At 39.1% G+C, this 21,240-nt stretch overlaps 1 long non-coding RNA gene, 1 other non-coding gene and 1 pseudogene across 4 annotated transcripts, besides 1 other annotated feature; 1 reads left to right on the top strand and 2 right to left on the bottom strand.

The window, feature by feature from the left end:
- Positions 1 to 4,000: 4,000 nt before the first annotated feature.
- Positions 4,001 to 21,033, top strand: LOC105378858 (uncharacterized). 3 transcript variants are annotated; one of them, XR_947605.4, is made up of 4 exons: positions 4,124 to 4,154; positions 11,204 to 11,301; positions 15,337 to 15,500; positions 19,957 to 21,033. It is a non-coding gene; the product is annotated as an uncharacterized LOC105378858 (long non-coding RNA). The 3 variants fall into 3 exon arrangements; XR_947604.2 differs by lacking the exon at positions 19,957 to 21,033 and adding an exon at positions 15,969 to 16,195; XR_947603.3 differs by lacking the exon at positions 19,957 to 21,033 and having other exon boundaries at positions 4,001 to 4,154; positions 15,337 to 16,869.
- Positions 10,545 to 10,839: a silencer, noted in NCBI's record as "tiled region #7015; HepG2 Repressive non-DNase unmatched - State 22:ReprW". NCBI's record gives its function as "represses a minimal TATA promoter and a strong SV40 promoter by Sharpr-MPRA in HepG2 cells {active_cell/tissue: HepG2}" and the evidence as "EXISTENCE:reporter gene assay evidence [ECO:0000049][PMID:27701403]".
- LOC124904821 (small nucleolar RNA U13) lies at positions 14,331 to 14,434 on the bottom strand. The gene has a single exon (XR_007067417.1). It is a non-coding gene; the product is annotated as a small nucleolar RNA U13 (small nucleolar RNA).
- On the bottom strand, positions 14,772 to 15,114 carry RN7SL440P (RNA, 7SL, cytoplasmic 440, pseudogene; annotated as a pseudogene).
- Positions 21,034 to 21,240: the final 207 nt, after the last annotated feature.

Raw genomic sequence — 21,240 nt, 5'->3', positions numbered from 1 at the left:
GAAATGGATAGGAGGCCTACTGCATTCCTACTTAATTTATACAAGCAGGAAATTTCTAGGTTGAATGGACAAAAGACTAATTTGAATTATAAAAACAGAGAATCATGGCCACTCAATCAATTTCCAGACTTGAGCCAGCTCACAGACCCAGAACCCCTTGAATGAAGGGGAAGCCAGAACCCCTTGAGGAAGGACACCACATTACTGACAATTTATGCAGTGAATCTTTCTCCCATCCTTCCCCAAAGAGATCTCTGGCCTTTTACCAGGGTAACAGTGCATTGGGGAAAAGGAAAGGATCAGACATTTCGGGGACTACTGGACACTGGCTCTGAGCTGACATTGATTCCAGGGGACCCAAAAACGTCATGTGGTCCTCCAGTTAAAGTAGGGGCTTATGGAGATCAGGTGGAATTTTAGCTCAGGTCCGACTTACAGTGGGTCCAGTGGGTCCCCAGACTCATCCTGTGGTCATTTCCCCAGTGCCAGAATGCACAATTGGCATAGACATTTAGCAGCTGGCAGAACCCCCGTGTTGGCTCCCTGACTGGTAGGATGAGGGATATTATGGTGGGAAAGGCCAAATGTAAGCCATTACAGCCGCCTCTACCTAGAAAAGTAGTAAATCAAAAACAATATTGCATCCCTGGAAGGATTGCAGAGATTAGTGCTGCCATCAAGAACTTGAAAGATGTAGGGGTGGTGATTCCCACCAAACCCCTGTTCAACTTTCTCATTTGGCCTGTGCAGAAGACAGATGGATCTTGGAGAATGACAGTGGATTATTGTAAGCTTAACGAAGTGGTGACTTCAATTGCAGTTGCTATAGCAGATGTGGTTTGATTGCTTGAGGAAATTAACACATCTCCTGGTACCTGGTATGCAGCCATTGACTTGGCAAATGCCTTTTTCTCCATTCCTGTCCATAAGGCCCACCAGAAGCAATTTGCCTTCAGCTGGCAAGGCTGGCAATATACCTTTACTGTCTTTCCTCAGAGGTATATCAACTCTCCGGCTATGTGTCATAATCTTATTCACAGAGACCTAGATTTCTTTTCACTTCCGCAAGATATCACACTGGCCCATTACATTGATGACATTATGCTGATTGGATCCAGTGGGCAAGAAGTAGCAAACACACTGGATTTATTGGTAGGACATTTATGTGCCAGAGAATGGGAAATAAATCTGACTAAAATTCGGGGAACTTCTACCTCAGTAAAATTTCTAGGGGTCCAGTGGTGTGGGGCCTGTTGAGATATTCCTTCTAAGGTGAAGGATAAGTTGCTGCATTTGGCCCCTCCTACAACCAAGAAAAAGGCACAATGCCTAGTGGGCCTATTTGGATTTTAGAGGCAACACATTCCTCATTTGGGTGTATTACTCTGGCCCATTTATCGAGTGACCTGAAAGGCTGCCAGTTTTTAGTGGGTTCCAGAACAGAAGAAGGATCTGCAACAGGTCCAGGCTGCTGTGGAAGCTGCTGTCCCACTTGGGCCATATGATCCAGCAGATCCACTGGTACTTGAGGTGTCAGTGGCAGATAGGGATGCTTCTTGGAGCCTTTGGCAGGCTGCCATAGGTGAATCACAGCAGAGGCCTCTAGGATTTTGGAGCAAGGCCCTGCCATCTTCTGAAGATAACTGCTCTCCATTTGAGAGACAACTCTTGGCCTGTTACTGGGCTTTGGTGGAAACTGAATATTTGACTATGGGTCATCAAGTCACTACATTAACATTTGAATCAGTGGAAGAAGCATGATTGGAAAATTGGTGACATATTTGAGGAAGAGGAATGTGGATGGACCTCTCTGAGTGGCCAAAAACCGTGAAGATATTTGTATCCCATGTGAGTGCTCACCAACGGGTGACCTCAGCAACGGCAGATTTTAATAATCAAGTGGATAGAATGACCCATTCTGTGGATACCACTCAGTCTCTTTCCCCAGCCACCCCTCTCATCGCCCAACAGACCCATGAACAAAGTGGCCATGGTGGCAGGGATGGAGGTTACGCATGGGCTCAGCAACATGGACTTCCACTCACCAAGGCTGACCTGGCTACGCCACTACTGAGTGCCCAATTTGCCAGCAGCAGAGACCAACACTGAGCCCTCGATGATCAGCCCCATTCCTTGGGGTGATCAGCAAGCTACCTGGTGGCAGGTTGATTATATTGGACCTCTTCCATCATGGAAAGGAAAGAGGTTTGTCCTCACTGGAATAGACATCTACTCCAGATATGGGTTTGCCTATCCTGCATGCAGTACTCTGCCAAGACAACTATCTGTGAACTCGTGGAATGCCTTACCCACCATCATGGTATTCCACACAGCATTGCCTCTGACCAAGGCACTCACTTTACAGCTAAAGAAGAGTGGCAGTGGGCTCATGCTCCTGGAATTCACTGGTCTTATCATGTTCCCCATCATCCTGAAGTAGCTGGATTGATAGAATGACGGAATGGCCTTTTGAAGTCACAATTAAAATGCCAACTAGGTGACAATACTTTGCAGGGCTGGGGCAAAGTTCTCCAGAAGGCCGTGTGTGCTCTGAATCAGCATCCAATATATGGTACTCTTTCTCCTATAGCCACGATTCACGGGTCCAGGAATCAAGGGGTGGAAGTGCAAGTGGCACCACTCACCATCACCCCTAGTGACCCACTAGCAAAATTCTTGCTTCCTCTTCCCGCGACATTACGTTCTGCTGGCCTAGAGGTCTTAGTTCCAGAGGGAGGAATGCTGCCACCAGGAGACACAACAATTTCATTAAACTGGAAGTTAAGATTGCCAACTGGACACTTTGGGCTCCTCCTACCTTTAAGTCAACAGGCTAAGAAAGGAGTTGCAGTGTTGGCTGGGGTGATTGACCTGGACTATCAAGATGAAATCAGTCTACTACTCCACAACAGAAGTAAGAAAGAGTATGCATGGAACACAGGAGATCCATTAGGGCGTCCATTAGTATTACCATGCTCTGTGATTAAGGTCAATAGGAAACTACAGCAGCCCAATCCAGGCAGGACTACAAATGGCTCAGACCCCTCAGGAATGACGGTTTGGGTCACTCCACCAGGAAAAAAACACAACCTGCTGAGGTGCTTGCTGAAAGCAAAGAGAATACAGAATGGGTAGTAGAAAAAGAGTCATCAGCTATGACCATGTGACCAGCTGTAGAAGGGAGGCTGTAATTGTCATGAGTATTTCCTCCTTCTTTTGCTAAAAACATGTTTGTGAATGTATGCACTTGTACTAAGAAAATATCTTTATTTTGGCTGGGTGTGGTGGCTCCCACCTATAATCCCAGCAGTTTGGGAGGCTGAGGCGGGCGGATCACCAGGTCAGGAGATCAAGACCATCCTGGCTAACACGGCGAAACGCCATCTCTACTGAAAATACAAAAAAATTAGCCAGGCATGGTGGCGGGCTCCTGTAGTCCCAGCTACTCAGGATTCTGAGGCAGGAGAATGGCATGAACCCGGGAGGCGGAGCTTGCAGTGAGCCGAGATCGCGCCACTGCACTCCAGCCTGGGCGACAGAGCGAGACTCCGTCTCAAAAACAAACAAACAAAAACCTTTCCCTTTATCATGTGACAGAAGATTTATTGACTTCATATCAGCATTTAAGCAGTGTTAACTTTATGTAATAGTGTTTGGGTTGGGGATTGGTGCATTTCCGGTTGTACGAAGGATAGTTGTATTATGTGAATTGTAATTATGACCTTGTTATTGTCTTTATTTGAATATTATGTATGATCTCAGGAGATGTGTATGGGTTCAAGTTGACAAGCAGTAGACTTGTGATGGTTAATACTGAGTGTCAACTTGATTGGATTGAAGGATACAAAATATTGATCCTGGCTGTGTCTGTGAGGGTGTTGCCAAAGGAGATTAATATTTGAGTCAGTGGGCTGGAAAAGGCAGACCCACCCTTAATCTGAGTGGACACCATCTAATCAGCTGCCAGCAAATAAAAGCAGGCAGAAAAATGTGAAAAGGAGAGATTGGCCTAGCCTCCCAGCCTACATCTTTGTCCCGTGCGGGATGCTTCCTGCTCTCGAACATCAGACTCCAAGTTCTTCAGTTTTGAGACTCAGATTGGCTCTCCTTGCTCCTCAGCTTGCAGACATCCTATTGTGGGACCCTGTGATTGTGTAAGTTAATACTTAATGAACTCCCTAATATCCTATTAGTTCTGTCCCTCTAGAGAACCCCGACTAATGCAGCAGGTATTCTTAACTGCCTTTTTCAGACAAGCAAATAGACTTCAAAGAAGTTAAATAACTTACTATAGGTCATATACTTAATAAGAAAGGGTGGTAAGACTTCAACTCAGGTGTCTTTATTATAAATTCTGTATCACTTCTAAATTCCTTCATCTTCATTTTTAGGTCAGAGCTGCTATAAATCATATACTTTCAGACTGTATTTTTTCATTCTAGTTGCAAGGAAATTGAAGTTAAGGGTTATCACATCCCAACTCCAATGTAACTTTTAGTGTGTATGTATAAAAGTTTATTCATTTAATTAAAACCTTTGTGTCTAAAATTGCTGAAGTTCTGGGTTGCAGTGAGTTTTGTAGGTTAAATTTTGTTAATGAGAGAACAACACAGCAGATGACAGAATTAACAAGTCCACCCCTCCACCCTCTGTCCCAGAAGAACAGTTTAGAAAACAGTGCTGTGATGGAGAGCTGTTGAAGACATAAGCATATGGAATAGAGCTTGAAGGAGATCACTTAGCTTCTGCTCATAATCAGGAAAAGGGTCAGCAATCCACGTGAGAAATAGGTCCTTCATTAAGCCACCCTCTGTGGGGATGATGACCTAAATTCCAGTTTATTTTTAGAAGCGCAATTGACAGGGATTAGTGACTCACTGTGAATGTGGAGTTGGGAAGCGTAGAGAAAGGGATGCTTACCATGGAAACCTGAGGACAAATAGTGTAAGTGAAAACAAGGATTCCCGGCTTCCTTGCTCCTTTGGACAGAAGGAGGTAAAGGTTGGCAGGTTTAACCTTAGTATTCTAGAAGGAAGCCATTTATGATTAGGACTGTTTTTAGATACATTATCTTCTGATTTGGTGAATTCCCTCAAAACTGGGAAGCGTTAAGTCAAAAACTAAGTAACCATCTACCAGGATTATTATTAGGTAGGAAATTGAGATAGATGGTCTGTACAATCTTTCAAGTTCTGAGCCTGAGTCTATGCCTTTGAATTTAAAATGAAAGAGATGTTTCTAGGTGCTGAAAATCTAAAATCACTGCATTAAGCAATTGCAGTATTTTTATTATGTCACTGTTATGAATGTCAGCAAGGAGGCATTTAAACCCCATTACCTAGGAGACCTCTCTAGAGTGCTGGGGGGGAAAAGAATTCTATCTAGAGTAAAAATATCCTTCAGAAATTTAGGTGAAATACAGATGTTTTCAGACAGAAAGGAGAATTAGTTACCAACAGCCTTACATTAATTGAAATTCTGATGGGAGGTCATTAGATAGAAGGAAAGTAATCCCAGATGGAAATACAGAAATGAAGAAAAGGATGAATGCAAAATTAGCTGGGCGTGATGGTGCATGCCTGTAATCCCAGCTACTTGGGAGGCTGAGGCAGGAGAATCGCTTGAACCCAGGAGGTGGAGGTTGCAGTGAGCCAAGATCATGCCATTGCATTTCAGCCTGGGCAACAAGAGCAAAACTCAAAAAAAAAAAAAAAAAAACAGAAAGAAAGAAAAGGATGACGACCTCTAGAAAAGGTAAATATAATGAACATCAACTGTTACAAAACAATACTAATATTGAGAAGTATAAAATTTATGCAGAATTAAAATGCATGACAGCCATAATGGAAAAGGCAAAAAGCTGGAGTTAAAGTATTATAAAGTTCTAGCACTATCAAGAAAGTGGTAAAAGCAATAATTTGTATTAAATTTATCAAGATGTGTTTTGTAACATCAAAAAGAAGTTAAAAGACGGGAAAATAGAATACTAGGGTAATTCAAAGAAAGGCAAGATTGAAGAAAAAAGGATAAATGAAACAGTGGGTTAAATAGAAAGTAAATAGTAGGATGGTAGATATAAACCTGCTTAAATTAGTAATCACATTAAATGAAAATTGACCAAACATTCTGAGTACTAACCTACTGTTGTTGGACTAGGAAAAAAACAAAATCTACCTACATCCTGTCTAGAACAGACACGCCTTAAATAAAGGTGCACAGGAAGTGCAAGGATTGAAAAGGATACACCTTGGAACCAATGAAAAAACTGGTATAGCCATACTAATGTCAGATAACACAGATTTTAAGTCAAGGAGGATTACTGGAGATAAAGAGAGATATTCCATAATGATAAAGAAGTCAATCCACGAAGAAGATTTCAAAATTCAAAATAAGATCATTTCAAAATATATAAGGCAAAAATAGACAGCTAAAAGGAAAAATGGACAAGTCCATAATCATAAGGGTTGCTTTAACACACCTCTGAAGAGACAAAAATAAAATCAAGACCACAGTTAACAAACTTAACCTAACTGACATACAGAGAACACTGTCAACCGTGACAAAATTCATATCTCATTTAAGCTCATATTTAAATTTTACCAAAATTGACAATAAGCAGGCCATACAGAAAGCCTCAAAACATTTCAGAGGGTTGAAATTATTCAAAATATGCTCTCTGACCTTAGGGAAATTATGCTGGAAATCAGTAACAAAAGATAACTAGAAAAATCCTCAACTGCCTGGAGATTAAACAGAACACACTTCTAAATGATCTGTGGATCAAAGAAGAAATAACAGACACTAGAAAATATTTCAAACTGAACAGTAGTGAAGACGTGCCATATCAAAAATTGGCTGCAGCTAAAGCAATGCCTGGAGAGAGATTCTTAGCCTTCACTACATGTCTTGGAAGGTTGAAAGGTTAAAATCAATTAAACTTTATCTTAAGAAGCAAGAAGAGGCTGGGCGTGGTGGCTCACGCCTGTAATACCAGCTCTTTGGGAGGCCGAGGTGGGTGGATCACCTGAGGTCAGGAGTTCGAGACCAACCTGGCCAACATGGTGAAACCCGGAAACCAGTAAAACAAAACAAAATTAAAGAAAAATAATAAAGCTAAGGACTGACTCTTTGAAAAGGTTAAGAAAATTGATAAACCCCCAGTAAAACTAATCAATCAAAGAAGAGGAAAAATAACATCAGGAATGAAAAAAATATTACTAGAGACTCTACAAACATTGAAAGATATGATGATATAATGAACAACTTAACACCAATTTGAAAATTTGAATAAGAACAAAATTAAGGACAAAATAAACTGACAAAAAATCTGGAGAGTCCCCATCTACTAGTGGAAATTGAATCAGTTATTTAAGACATTTCCACAAGGAAAATGTAAAGCCTCACCAGTGAATCCTTTCAAACATTTAAGGAACACATTACCCCAATCTTAAGCAAATTCTTCCAGTAAATAAAAAAAGAGAATACTTCCAGACTCTAAAAGTTCATCCTCACCTTGATGCCAAAACCTGACAAAGACATCACAATATACAGAAAAGCAACTCTCAGTATATTAAAAGAACCGTATATTACTACCAAGTGGGTGACTTTTTTGTGTGTGCAAAAGTGGTTTAACATTTGAAAAATCAGTCAACATAATTTACCACATTAATTTTCTTAAAAGGAGAAAAGTATAGCTATCTCAATAAATAAATGCAAATTTAAAAAAAGATTTTATAAAATTCAACAGCTATGTATGATTTTTAAAAATACACTTAGCAAACTGTAGATATGACTTCCCTAAACTGATAGAGAAACACTCTTCAGGAGACTATTTAGTGGTAAAATATTTAAAGGTTTGGCCCTGAGATTGGGAATCACACAAGAATACCTACAATTACAACTTCTAGTCAACATTGTACTAGAGATTCTAGCCATAAAATAAGGCAAGAAAAAGAAATGAAAGGCATAAAGATTGGAAAAGAAGAAGTGAAATAGTCATTGTTTGCAAATAATATAATTATTACATGGAAAATTTAAAAGCATTTATAACCTATTAGAATTTGAATTGGAGGTGAATTTAGAAAAAAAAATGCTTAAAATTCAGTATTCACAAGTCACTTATATATTAACACCAAACAGGAAATGGAATTTATGAAATGATATTATTTAAAATAACATCAAAACATCAAATACTTAGGAAATCTAAGGAGAGATAACGTAGAGATGTACATCTGAAATACACAAAATATTTTTGGCAAAAATTAAATAACCAAATAGAATAATATATCATTTGTGTAGATTGAAAGGTTCAGTATTATAAAGATGGCAGTTCTCTCCCAAGTTGATGTATACATTTAACCCAGTCTTATTTATTCTTGTTAAGTATTTTACAAATGTGCTTTGGGGCACTTTGATATAGTCTGTCTCATGATCCTCAGAAAGGCAGGGTAGGTGTTTTGAACTCTCTTTTAATGGCTTCAAAGACTTGCCATACAGCAAGTAGGAGAAGGTAGCACCTGAACTATATCTCTTTGTTGTAAGTTACTTTTTACTTTGACATTCTTTCTTCTTCACTTATTATTATTACTATTATTATTATTATTATTATTATTATTATTATTATTATTTTGAGACAAAGCCTCACTCTGTCACCCAGGCTGGAGTACAGTGGTGTGATCTCAGCTCACTGCAACCTCCGCCTCCTGGGTTCAAGCGATTCTCATGCCTCAGCCTCCCGAGTAGGGTTACAGGCATGCGCCACCATGTTCAGCTGATTTTTGTATTTTTAGTAGAGACAGGGTTTCACCATGTTGGCCAGGCTGGTCTGAAATTCCTGACCTCAGGTGATCCACCCGCCTCGGCCTCCCAAAGTGCTGGGATTACAGGCGTGAGCCACCGCGCCCAGCCTCTTTTTCACTTTATACCACAGACTATTCCAGTCCTATTCTACCTGGCTACATCCCTTCCTCATAGGATCCTTCCTCAAAGGGTCCCAAAGATCTCTTGGAGAATACACTGTCAGATTTAACTCACCTCAAAATTCAGGTGTTTAAAAAAAAATACTATGCATGCTACATATTATGGAAATTTATTCATTTAAATAAATGCCTTGAATTTAAAGTTAGAAAAATTTTCCACCCAGCACTGTGATTGTCGGACTTTGTTGCCTCCTTCAAAACTAGCACCATTCAAGGGACACCCTGGAGATGTGAGACTAAATATTTAACTGAATATTTGTAATTAGCTTTGTAACAACAAAATGGTTCTAGCTAGCTCCAGAAATTAATGCCTAATCTAGAGAAAGCCCTACATTATTTTGGGATCCTGTAAGACTTCATGTGATAAAGACAATTTTCTAGCATGAGGGAGTTGAGTGGGTTGTGTAAGTTACACATTCTTTTGGTTATCCTTTGAATAGGGCTTTTCTTTCCTCACCACTTGCCTCTTTTTTAAGTTACATTTGATGCTGAAGAGGGATTTTTTTTTTTTTTTAAAGCTCATAAACTTATTTGGGCTAAGCTTTTATCAGATAAGGCTCCTCATAAAATAATGTGTCCAGCACTGTTCAGAGCTTCCCTAATGTTACCAGGCTCCCTTGGAATTACATTGAAGTTGTCATTGGTCAGATTACATTTGAAGTAGAACGTGTAATAATTAAATGTGTAATTTAAGAAGAATGTAGACATATACCAGTTGGCAGTGATGATGGAGCACTGAGAACTTGTTCAAGAAATGTTGAGGAACTATAATTAACAAAATTTTAGTGACTTATTGTGAATATAGAATTGGGAAAGGTGAGGCTGGAGTTGGACAAGGTAGGGAAGGGCCAGAATCTGTAAACCAAATCACATGATGAATAGGTGAAGACTGGAGGTGCCTCTCCTGGAAAAGAGGAAAATTGGGGACATGACAGCTGTCCTCAAATACTGCAAGCAAATAGGGACTAAACTTAGACTATTTATTTGCTCCTTTAGGAAAAAATACGATCAAAAGCTAAGATTGAGATGCACATTTCTGCTTTATAAAAAGAACTCATTTTACAATTAGAACAGTTCAAAATGGAACACATGACCTTGTGATCTATCAGTCATTAGGGACACACTCAAAGCAAAAACTACGTGACCACTGTCTTAGTCTGCTCTTGCTGCTATAACAAAATACCACAGCCTGGATAACTTACAGACAACAGAAATTTGCATATCACAGTTCTGGAGGCTGAGAAGTCCAAGATCAAGGCACCAGCAGATTGGGTGTTTGGCAAGGGCTTGTTGTCTGCTTCCAAGACGGCACCTTGCTGTTGTGTCCTCACATGGCAGAAGGGTGAATGCTATGTCCTCACATGGTCAAAGGCAGAAGGACAAAAGGTGCTGATTGCTGTGTGAAGCCTCTTCTATAAGGGCATTAATCTCATTGGTGGGGATGATGATGCCCTCATGGCCTAATCAACTTCTAAAGGCCCCACCTCTTAATACTATCGTATTGGGGATTAACTTTCAATGTATGCATTTTGGAGAGACACATTCAGACCATAGAAACCACCTTTAAGCATATTGTGAAGAAAAATCTTTTTGGGGAAAGGAAGTAAATAAACCTAATTCCCAGCTGGGCTGCATCCAAAAATGCTTTGACACACAAGGGTCCTTTGCTGAAATAGCTTACATCCTGTGACCTCAACTCCCTGCCAGGATCATTGGGCTGTTGTTCTTGGCTTCCAGTCTCCTGTCTTACTAGAAACATAAATGTGATATTACTATTGGGTTGTTATATTCAAAGATTTTTGTGTCTTACATAAAGTTAGGGGTTGCACTGTATACATTTATTTATAACTTAATTCAACAAACATTTAATGACAACTTACTATGTGCCATCACTATACCAGCTAATAGACACAAAATAGCAATTAAAAAACACTCCCTGTCCTTGTAGAGCATAGAACATAATACTATCAGAAGCTGGCAGTTAGTGAGTCCTCTCAGAGAGTTAATTATCAGATTTATTTGGAAAAGTCAGATTTGGTTACATACCATTTTTTTCCGAGAATGAATAGCAGAATTTCCCTGTATAAAAAGTCCAAGAATAGAAGCCAATTTTAAATTAAAGCTAAAATAGTATGACTTTTATTATTCTGAAAATGTTGTCATTCCCCATTTCCAAAATAATACAATGAATAATCAGAAGAGCTGTATCCATGTTTTTCTTTTAGGAGACTTTAATACAAAATTACCGTGTACTTCATCTACAATATGTCTTCTGCTGCTGATCTAGATCTGAGCTGTCCGATACAGCTGCCAGAAGCCACAGGTGACTATTTATGTTAAATGAGTTAACATTATATACAATTTAAAGTTTAGTTCCTCAGTTGCACTAGTGATATTCCAAGTGCTCCATAGCCACATGTGGCTGGTGGCTTCCATATTTGACAGTGCAGCCATAGAACATTTCCATCATGGCAGGAAGTTCTGTTGGGCAGCGCTGATTGAAAGAAGGGGTCACATCCAGAAGCTGGTCCTATAGCTGGGGAGCAACAACAAAAAGTATTTGATAAAGTTTAATGCCCATTCGTCATTTAAAAAGAAAAAAATCTTAGCAGTTTGTGAACAGAAGGGGATGTCCTTAAACCAGAAGATGACTTTCTCACTGAACCACTTGAGTCAGAGCATCTCATGATATCTTAGGAAGATAGTGTAATTTAGAAAATGGCCACTTTGCTGTGTATATACCAAAGGCATCATAATGACTTAAAAATATCCCAACAGTTGTGTACAAATATGGGTTGACAATGTATGAATCAAATGTTACAAATATAAGTAAAAGAATAAGCAGCCAGGCACGGTGGCTCACACCTGTAATCCCAGTACTTTGGGAGGCTGAGGCGGGTGGATCACATGAGGTCAGGAGTTCGAGACCAGCCTGACCAACATGGTGAAACCCCATTTCTACTAAAACACAAAAAATTAGCTGGGCATGGTGATGCATGCCTATTGTCCCAGCTACTCGGGAGACTGAGGCAGGAGAATCGCTTGAACCTGGGAGGCAGAGGTTGCAGTGAGCTGACATCACGCCACTGCACTCCAGCCTGGCGACAGAGCAAGACTCTGTCTCAAAAAAAAAAAAAAAAAAAAAAAGAAGAAGAAGAACCAGCAAAACTAATTTATCTGATGTATATTAGCATAGTCCTAAAAGAAGAGACTATAAATTCTGCCATGAAGCAAAGCCAAGCAAAGGATGTGTTGCATAAAGTTAAAATTCTTTTGAACTTCTGGCTCAACAGTTAAGTATATTGGTCTAAGTGCTCAAAAGGGGCTGAACTAGACTTCTGAAATTCGGGAGGCTTGACAGTGGCCTGCCTTCAGCTCATGATGTGCACATATGTGTATGTGTGTTTTTTACTTTATTAACTGTAGCCATTTTATTCACTGTTTTTTTCTGTATGGTAATTTTTCTAGTTGTAGGAATTCTTAGGTGCTGGTGAAAAAGGCTGCACTGCCACTGCAGTTCTACATACCAGCAGAGCTAAATTCCAATGTACATTTCAAAACAGAGCCCTGTATGTTATCTTTGATCTACAATCTAGTACCAATAATCACAAGGTCTAAAAATAATGGCAACTAAAAATCAATCACTTCCTACTTGCTCTATGCTGGACATTGTGCAAGCTGCTTCATTCTGTTTTTCTTATTTACTTTGTATAATAACTCTGGTATCTAAAATAGTATTAGCCCCATTCAACACATAGTCCAACAAGCTGAGCTTAGTTGCCCAAATAATATGCCCAAATCATGCCCAATTGTTCAATCAGGATTGAACCCAGTCTGATTTCTATATCTTATTTCGCTGTCCCATGATCTAGGGCTCCTGATTAGGAATCATAATAATAAATGCCATTTTCTAGTGTTTATTATCTAAGCATTTTTCTCAGTAGGTCATTTAGATCACACAGATACACATAGGAGTCTCTTTTCACAGATGAAGACACATGGGGCAGTGGGATTGCCTAGCCCAGTGCAGAAGTGGCAGGCAGGGCTGAGCCAGGACCTGGGCAACTAGGCTTCAGAGTCTGTGCTCTTCTCCATTATGCTCTAAGTTTTTCCCTCAGAAATTTAAGAATATACGTTGGTGTTTAGAGTCCAACTGCAAGGAACTGGGCCACTTAGAATGGTCTACAAATGTATGGAGGACCTGGGAAAGCAAATCAAAATAGCCTTGGAACCCAGGGAAGAGAGGCCAGCAGTCCCAGGTGTGGAAGAAGGTCAGGCGAGACAACGACCGAAAAGTGACTCTGGTGGGCCCTGGTGCTCAGGGCCGGCTGCAGCTCAAAGTCAGGACAGTGGCAAGGCACGGAATTGTTGGGTGTTTTTCAGCAGGGAACAGGAAGGCAGGAGAGTGGAGGACTGGAACATTCCTGGAATGGAATTTTTTAGGATAGACACAGCAAAAAATCATAGAGTTTGAGGAACCAAGGGTTCTGAGTGAGAAAACATGGACCATGGGTTCAGACTAGAGAAGAAAGAAAATCTGGGAGCAGGCCCAGTGCGGTTGGCTCACACCTGTAATCCCAACACTTTTGGAGGCCGAGGTGGGAGGATCATCTGAGGTCGGAAGTTCGAGACCAGCCTGACCAACATGGAGAAACCCTGTCTCTACTAAAAATACAAAATTAGCCAGGCGTGGTGGCACACGCCTGTAATCCCAACTACTCGGGAGGCTGAGGCAGGAGAATCGCTTGAACCCGAGAGGTGGAGTTTGTGGTGAGCTGAGATCGCACCATTGCACTTCAGCCTAGGCAACAAGAGTAAAACTCTGTCTCAAAAAAAAAGAAAATCTGGGAGCAGATGGGGAAAAAATGGCATTTTAAACTTAAAAGCATTCAGCCTTCGTTTGACAGAATGGACATTATGCTTTATTAGTTGATCAGATACGGAGAGCATCTAAGGCATCTAATATGATATGCTCTCACTGGGTTGAGTGTAACTCAAAAGCAAATTGAGTTGGCAAAATCCTTGGGATTCAAGGCACACTTACATTTGGTTGGTGTGTAAATTAGTGTCACTTTTCTCAGGTTAATTTTCCAGTGTTTGCCTACTGAAATCTTGACAGTCCTTTGACTCAGCTACTTCACTTCTTTGAATTTATCTTATGGAAATGCTAAAGTTTTCATAAACAGATTTTGCAAGTTTTAAAACACTAACTGTGTTTGAAGTTATTATGCTAATTTAAATACACACAACCATATATATATATATATACACATATACACGCAAAGTGTACTCTTTTATACACACACACACACACACATATGTATATACACAAAGTGTACTCTTTTTTCCTCATGTCACATGGGCAATGTGCTGATGTTGTAACAAGGTTTGAGGGAGGCACATTTTACATATGAGCGTGAAACCCGAATCATCACACTTATGAACTACAAAAGGTCCTCAAAGTGTAGTTTTAATGTAACTTCAGAGATCTGTACCTCTGTCAAAAAGTCAACAGGTTTTTTCTGCTAAGCAGAAAGAAGTGTTCACTAATGCCCATGTATCTTTTAGACTGAGAATAATTTGTTTAAAAAATTATATAACCTGGCCAGGCGTGGTGGCTCACACCTGTAATCCCAGCACTTTGGGGGGCCAAGGCAGGCGGATCATGAGGTCAGGAGATCGAGACCATCCTGGCTAACACAGTGAAACCCCGTCTTTACTAAAAATACAAAAAAAAAAAAAAATTAGCCGGGCGTGATGGTGGGCGTCTGTAGTCCCAACTACTCAGGAGGCTGAGGCAGGAGAATGGCGTGAACCTGGGAGGCGGAGCTTGCAGTGAGCCAAGATCACGACACTGCACTCCAGCCTGGGCGACAGAGCGAGACTCCATCTCAAAAAAAAAAGAAAAAAAATTATATAACCTATCATTTGAAAATGATTTCATCTGTCCAATCAGTCAGGCTTTCTTTATATTTTTTTATTTTTTTTTTGAGACGGAGTCCCGCTCTTTAGCCCAGGCCGGATTGCAGTGGCACAATCTCGGCTCACTGCAAGCTCCGCCTCCCAGGTTCACGCCATTCTCCTGCCTCAGCCTCCCGAGTAGCTGGGACTACAGGCGCCCGCCACTGCGCCCGGCTAATTTTTCGTATTTTTATTAGAGACGGGGTTTCACCGTGTTAGCCAAGATGGTCTCGATCTCCTGACCTTGTGATCCGCCCGCCTCGGCCTCCCAAAGTGCTGGGATTACAGGCGTGAAGGCTTTCTTTTTAAGTGTCACACAAATTTGGTTTTGGTACATAAAGTGACAACCCTTTCTTTATTTCTTTTGTTTTTTTGTTTTTTGTTTTTTTTTTTTCAGGTGACGTTATATTCCTATTCGAAGACCAAGAGCTCAAAACATCATTCCTCCCCCAAATGAAAAAATGTCTGGGAAAAATTACTAATCTACTTCTCTGAAACCCATTTGGGAAGCTGGCCCAATTCGAGTTCTATACTCAAAAGGCAAACGTAAAGACTAAACCTGTAAGTGTGCCTGTATGTAGATGACTTCTTACAAGACCTCCTAATGAGAGTAATGGCAGAAATAGGGGAAATGAAAATTAAGACAAGTTTTGCAAGTGTTATTCCAAAGAATCCAGAATATTTCCATTTTGCCCATGGTGAAACTATCCAAGGAAGGTTAAGTAATTTGGATTGGTCAGGATGTGAACCTAGGCCAGTCTGACTTTTAAGCCTGTGATTTTTCTGTTATCCCATGACATGGTGTACACTACAAGAAATGCTAATCTTAATAACATAGCTACCTGTATTGAGAGCTCATTAGGTCCGGTACTGTTCTAAGCACTTTGCTTCTATCTCTCACTCAGCATATTTTAGTGAGCTCTTTATTGATTTACAAGATTATGCATCTATGAACTCAGTCACACTGGCTATTAATTAAATTCCCTTCAAGTTTGTAAAAAATTAATTGACATTTCATTCTTTTTTCAGAAGACACCAGGTTTTTAGCCTTGGATCAAGATGTCTCAAAAAAAATTCAGTAAAAATCTAGATCTTGCTCAGCTCCAAATTCTTGTACTGCTTTCAGAGTACTGAGATCATTGTAGCCCAAACATGCAATGGCATTTTATAAGCCTCTTGAACTCTGAGGACTAAGCTCTGATTTTTTTTAATCTTGTCCAAATTCCTATCTAAGGGGTCTGGGGAGTCATGCACTACAAACCATAAATTCTCATCAGATGGGTTTTATTTAACCCTATATATCATGACTTACTTGCCAACCTGACTCTGGCATAACATTATCAGACAAGGAAGAAAATCAAAATATTTTACCCCAAAACATGTTTATTTGCCATATCTTGAAATGGCCCTGCAAAGCTGTCTTTTGTGGGGGAAAATTTGCCTCTGTAAAGAATCTCTATTAACATAACTAGATCTTTTTCTTCCAGGCCCTCCCAAACCTAAGGAGATTAACTAAAAGTCTAGCACTTCTTAAAGATCTGAATAGGAAACATTTCAACTATTATCTCTAAGGGCAGCCACTATAAGACTTCAAAAGAACCTTGGTCTCCACAATCTTTTATCTTAACCTGAACCTTTCCCTTCTATCAATCCCAGGTCTTTAGACAAACTCAACCAATTGTCAATCAGAAAATATTTAAATTCACCTGTAGCCTGGAAGCCCCTGCTTTGAGTTGTCCCATCCTTCTAGACCAAACGAATGTATTTCTTAAATGTATTTGATTGATGTCTCATACCTCCCTAAAATGTATAAAACCAAGCTGCATCCCCAACTACCTTGGGCACATGTTCTAAGGACCTCCTGAGGGCTGTGTCATGGGCCATGGTCACTCATATTTGGCTCAAAATAAATCTCTTTGAATATTTTGCAGAGTTTGACTCTTTTTGTCGACAGCTCCTTCTGAGCCATATGCACATCATTACATTTTGTGTTTTGGAATTTATAAATACTAAATGCTAATTAAAAATTTTTTAAGTTCTATTGATTTTCTGCTCCCATAAAATGATCTATTTGAATCTATCTTCAGTAAAGTACAGTTGTCAAGCTGCTTGATGGAATCAGCAAGAAACAGCTTCACTTCCTATAGTGGAACCAAGTGCTTAAGTAGAAAAACAGTGTTTCTGACTATCATGGTTAAAAAAAAAAATCTCTCCAATATAAATTATAGAGTGGTAAAAGAGCTGACAGGTTTTGTGTGTTTTTTTTTAACAGTTGTCTTCTGTTAAACATAAGCTTTTATTTTCCAAATGACAATTAACAGCTTCATTTTCCAATATTTTCTGTAGTACCCAAAACCTACCATCTATATTTATATATTTTTATACCAGAATTTTCATTTTTACCAGTTTTTACTAGTGATCATCAACTGGATTGCACAAAGAATATGTATTTAAGGCTCTTTCTGAATCGTGTGGTTTAGTTAAAATCTCAGAATATGTTGGTAGTTTGTCTTTCAGGACTTGGGCTTTGACATATGTAAATTATAAATTTCCAGTCAAATTCAGTGCTAACAACTTGAGTATTTTATGTAACGGTGAAATAAATTCAGAACTGAATTGAAGATTAAAAAATTATAGTGTACATTCAACAAAACAGAAACATTGGAAGAGAGATGAACTATTGTTGTTTTAAAACTATTAAACCATATTACAAATAGTATGACTTCCTAGGACCTCACAATGTAAAGACCAGCTTAACTGTATTTATTTTTTTATAAAAAGAACACCATATAAAACTAACAACTGAAAATATGGACATAAAAATAAATACAATAGTTTTAAGCTTTTTCAGTTATATAAAACATTTAAAAATTATCAAATATTTATAACATATCAATTACATATAACACACATAAGTATATAAATATATAACTAAGTATCTTCATTTGTGGATAGTGCACAAATTGTTAACTAGTACAGAAGCCAGATTTACTTTAGCTTGTTTCTGAATAATTCAGTAAGTCATGTTATTTGGAGTATGATATATGGTTTAGAGCAGGGGTCAGCAAACTATGGCCCATGGGCCAAATCAGGCCTGCCACCTGTTTTTGTAAAGTTGTAAATAAAACTAAAAACTTGAAAAGAATCACTGATAGGATGATTTTTACCTAGGATGATTTTTGACTAAGAACACAACCATGCTCATTCATCTACACATTGTCTATGATTGATTGCTTTCCTGCTACAACATTACAGTTGAGGAGTTGGGACATCTTTACCCTCTGTCTCTTTAAAGAAAAAGTTTGCTGATCCTTGGATTTGATGAATGAGTCGTACTGTGAGATAAATATTTCACTTGCTATTTTATGTACAGGAATTCCCACTTCTTGGTTTTCACTAATACGTCTAAAACATAATGTAAGATGGACCAAAATAGCCTAACTGTCCACATTAGTACATGCATATGCATTTTATATTCATTTGTACTAAATGTTGCTTTGTATGACCATGTCATAGCTATTATTCTATTCATATATATAAGGTTTGCAACCTACTTCAGGGACTCATGGCTCCTATGAAATCGTGGCCTCTTAGACTTTATTCGAGTCTGTGAGCCATATGCTTGGTTCTCAACATTCTGAGCCATATTTCCCTTGGCTGTGAGATGAAATACATGTTATGGGAAGTTGTATTAGAGTTCTAAATGGCATTAAGAACTAGAGGGATATGAATAGCTGCCCTCTTTGCCCTGAGGTCTTGTTTTTAGTCCTCACAATGTGAAATATAAAAAGAATCCTATTAGCTTGTAGAACGCTAAAGAGAAAATCATGGTGACTAACATTTACTAAGCTTCTGTGGTGCTGTGCATTCTACCTACATTGTCTCATTTTGTCTGCACAACAAGCTTAAGAAACAGGTTGGTGTATTATCCCTGCTTTACAAAAGAGAAAACTAAGGCTTAATTAAGACCCTTGTCCAAGATCACACAACTGGTAATTGACAGAGCCAGAACTCACACACAGAATTGTCCAATTACAAAGTCAGGGCTCTTAATCACTATCTTACTATTAAATAATAGGTGCTAGTATTTATGTACTTTAAAATACCTTCACATGAGGTGATGGATATGTTAATTAGTTTTCTTTAATTATTCCACATGGTATTCATAAATTATAGCATCACGTTGCACTCATAAACATATTCAATTATACATTATAATTTATAGATATTGTTGATTTACAATTTAAAAAAAAAAACCTTCACATGTCTTTTAACATAAGACCATCGAGCCAGAGAATATTATGGAATTACCTGGTAAACTGATGTCTCTGCCTCCCCTTACTGGCAGAGCTCAGTGGGAGCCTCACTCCTTGCTGCCATTCCTTCCTTCTTGCCGAGTCGCCCTTTCCTATTCCCCAATACCCCCAACCTGCATACCCAGGTGAGTCACAAATCCTGCCTTTGAGGTTTCTCTGGCATCTTGTCCTCTGTATAAACCTCAGCCTATAGACACTTCTCAGTGTCTGAAGCCCAATAAACAAGAATAGATGCTGCTGTCCTACTGTGGAAATCACTAATTGGGAAGGTGATTCACTGCAAACGGGCAGAGAGAGATGGAGCTGATGGAAAAGGGCAATCGCATAGAGCTCTAGGGGCCCGCCGACTGCCAGAAGTCTTCCTGATGGGGGTGCTTAGGGCGTCTGTGAGAGACAGTGTCTGAGGGCTTGGAGATCTCTTCCAGGTAATCTGGCTTTATGACTTGAAGACCCAATTAAAAAGACCTAAGGGCATTGGAAAATATTTCAAACGGGGCACATTTGGGCAATGAATATTTATGGATACAGGGATGCATAAGGTATGTTTGCTGTGGTGAATTTTCAGTCGAGAAATCCCAAAAGCAAATGAAATAAGAGCCTCCGTTTTTTAGTTTATTTACTTGAGAAATTGGTACTTCGGCTTTCTTAGGCCCAGTTGGTCTCATGCCACTTACATTTGTAAACTCTGCAATTTTTTTCAGGAATGCATGGATGGTCCCAAAACATAAAATCTATAAATGTAATTTTATCTGAGGATGGAATGCATCACAGCCTAAAAAGTTTGCAGCATCCTTAATGGGCAAACAACACTGGCAGCATCCTGATAGAGAGAAACGTAACAAGAATGCCCGCTGCTCCTACAATTTACTATTTAACACTGTATTGGAAATATCAGCCAATACCATTAAACAAGTGAAAGAATGTAGAGGCAAAAAAACTTGGAAATGAATAAACATAAAAACCCAAAGAGAATCACTGACAAACTACAAACAATTAGAGAACTCAGGAAAATGCTGGTGTACACATAGGGTCCCAAGTTGACGAGTAGCACCAAGCAGCCATCTTGAAACAGTCTCCCCGGCCCTCCTCTTGATAATTGTCTCTGGTGAGGACTAACCACACAATTAACTGGTTTAGATTTTCTGATTTTCAAATGATATGTTTATCCTCCCAACTCTGAATATTCTCTTCAAGACCATGTCCTCAGATTATCCAACGGAATCTTCCTGAACCAATATAAAGAATATAGTAAGCTACTTAAGCATTTTTCCTAAGCAGCATATTAAAAAAAAAAAACTCGATGGAATTTTTGGCATGTTTATCATCTGAAAGCCACCAGCTGTACTCGGTTTGTCCCCTCTCCTGTGACAGTGCTGGTCCTACCTGAGACTTTTCAACTTGTGTGAATTGGGTCTTCCAAGCATTATCAAAGGAAAAGCAACTTTCCAGGGAAGGGTGGTTGTAGTAATCATCGTGCCTATGTCTCTTGCAATAATACTTAAAATCAGATGGTGCTGACCCACTTAGAAACAAGGATTAAAGAAATCTGCTTAGAATTGAATTGAGTCCACCATAGCAACTTGCCAAGAGAAATGCATTCCACAGAATGCCCTTCAGAGAACCTCTCATTAGCCAGACTGCAAACCTTTGATTTCTTTTCATTTAATATATGACTGCCTGGAATTCATTTAAACATGGATGTGATACATGTTCATATGTATGTTCACAGCATATTAGTCTAGTCTTTTATTTTTCCTGGACAACATACACAAGTCTTATGTAGGACTTAGTCATCTGTAGCTCTAACCTAAATTTTAAAAGTTGTATATTTTTAATAAAAAGTATATATATTCTAGATAATTTCTTTGTAAATTTGTATGTAGTTTCAAATATATCAGAATTTTGAAAAAGTAAAGCATTGCTTTTTATACTGGAAACTTTTGCTGAGCCTTTAATTTAGTATTACGAAAAATGAATAGCAGAAT

The sequence above is a fragment of the Homo sapiens genome, chromosome 1, assembly GCF_000001405.40.
Source record: "Homo sapiens chromosome 1, GRCh38.p14 Primary Assembly".
Classification (NCBI taxonomy): Eukaryota; Metazoa; Chordata; class Mammalia; order Primates; family Hominidae; genus Homo; species Homo sapiens.
Note: the sequence above shows the minus strand (reverse complement) of the source record. Positions and strands in the feature narration are given on the sequence as shown.